The sequence below is a fragment of the Homo sapiens genome, chromosome 10 (assembly GCF_000001405.40).
Source record: "Homo sapiens chromosome 10, GRCh38.p14 Primary Assembly".
Lineage (NCBI taxonomy): Eukaryota > Metazoa > Chordata > Mammalia > Primates > Hominidae > Homo > Homo sapiens.
In genome coordinates, this window is record NC_000010.11 from 56,135,209 (window position 1) to 56,136,326 (window position 1,118).

A 1,118-nucleotide genomic window follows, 5' to 3' on the forward strand; every position below is an offset into this window, starting at 1 on the left:
CTGAATATAGTCTCTGAACTATGGGAATCTTATTGAAAATAAATGGAAATTCAGAAGTACACATACCCTAGGTCTCCATAAATTATACTTACAAACCGAGAAGGAACCATATTGAATGCAACTCTGCTTGCTCTCTAATTATAATCTCATTGTACCAATGTCAATTCACCTGTTATGAAGTGATACAGTTATATATGATGTTACCACTGAAGAATAAAATGAATGGTACAAAGGACATCTGTGTGCTATTGTTAAAACTTCTTGTGAATATTTAACTATCATAAAATAAAAATAGTTTTTATAAAACCAAAAATGACAGTAGCAATAACAAAGCTATTTCATTAATTAATGGAAAGAGTTTTATAACCATAGAGTATAAGCAAGGTTCAAAATAATTTATGATATTTAAATATTTCTCTGGAATTTTTCTCCAGAATTTTTCTCCTTCTAAACTCAAATGCCAGCTTATCTGGAGCATCATCTACAAATGGGCAGCTCTATGAATCTTAGCGTTTGGGACTAGGTGTTGAGGATTAGGATGTGAATGCTATTTGTAAATTAGAAAATGTTTTCCAAATAGTGTTTATTATTATTATTATTAATGGTATTGATAGGCAGACAGACCTGAAGTTTGTGTAGTGGTTTGTTAAACAGACTTGGAGTAAAATACAATTTCCGGCAGTAGAGGCAGCCCCTGTAACAGTAGATGTGTAAGAGAACTGGGGATACACTATGAATCTTAAATATCTCTGTACTGCGCAACACAGAGTGGGCACAGACAAAACTGTGAAAGGAGGAAGTATCGGCTGTGGTGAGTGAGGGATTTATCAACAAAAGCTGTCAGCAGTTTAACATAGCCTCGGCTCATTTAAGAGTTAACATAGTCTGCTAATCCATTTACAATTTGCATGTCATTTTCAACACTCTCATAAACTGCTAGGAGATATGTAAATTGATGCATTTTTTTTGTTAACTGGAAAATGAATTAAAGACCATAGTATTTTTAATAATCTACATTGAATAGTTATGCTCCTAAAGATTTATCCTGAAAGCAAACCAAAGCAAATAATTTTTTGAAGTTATCTAAAAAAGCAGAAAATGTATATTCATCCAGATAT

The 1,118-nt window shown here is 32.3% G+C and overlaps 1 annotated feature.

Moving 5' to 3' along the window:
• Window positions 779-828: a silencer, noted in NCBI's record as "silent region_2372". NCBI's record gives its function as "represses an Ori minimal core promoter by ATAC-STARR-seq in GM12878 lymphoblastoid cells {active_cell/tissue: GM12878}" and the evidence as "EXISTENCE:reporter gene assay evidence [ECO:0000049][PMID:35858748]".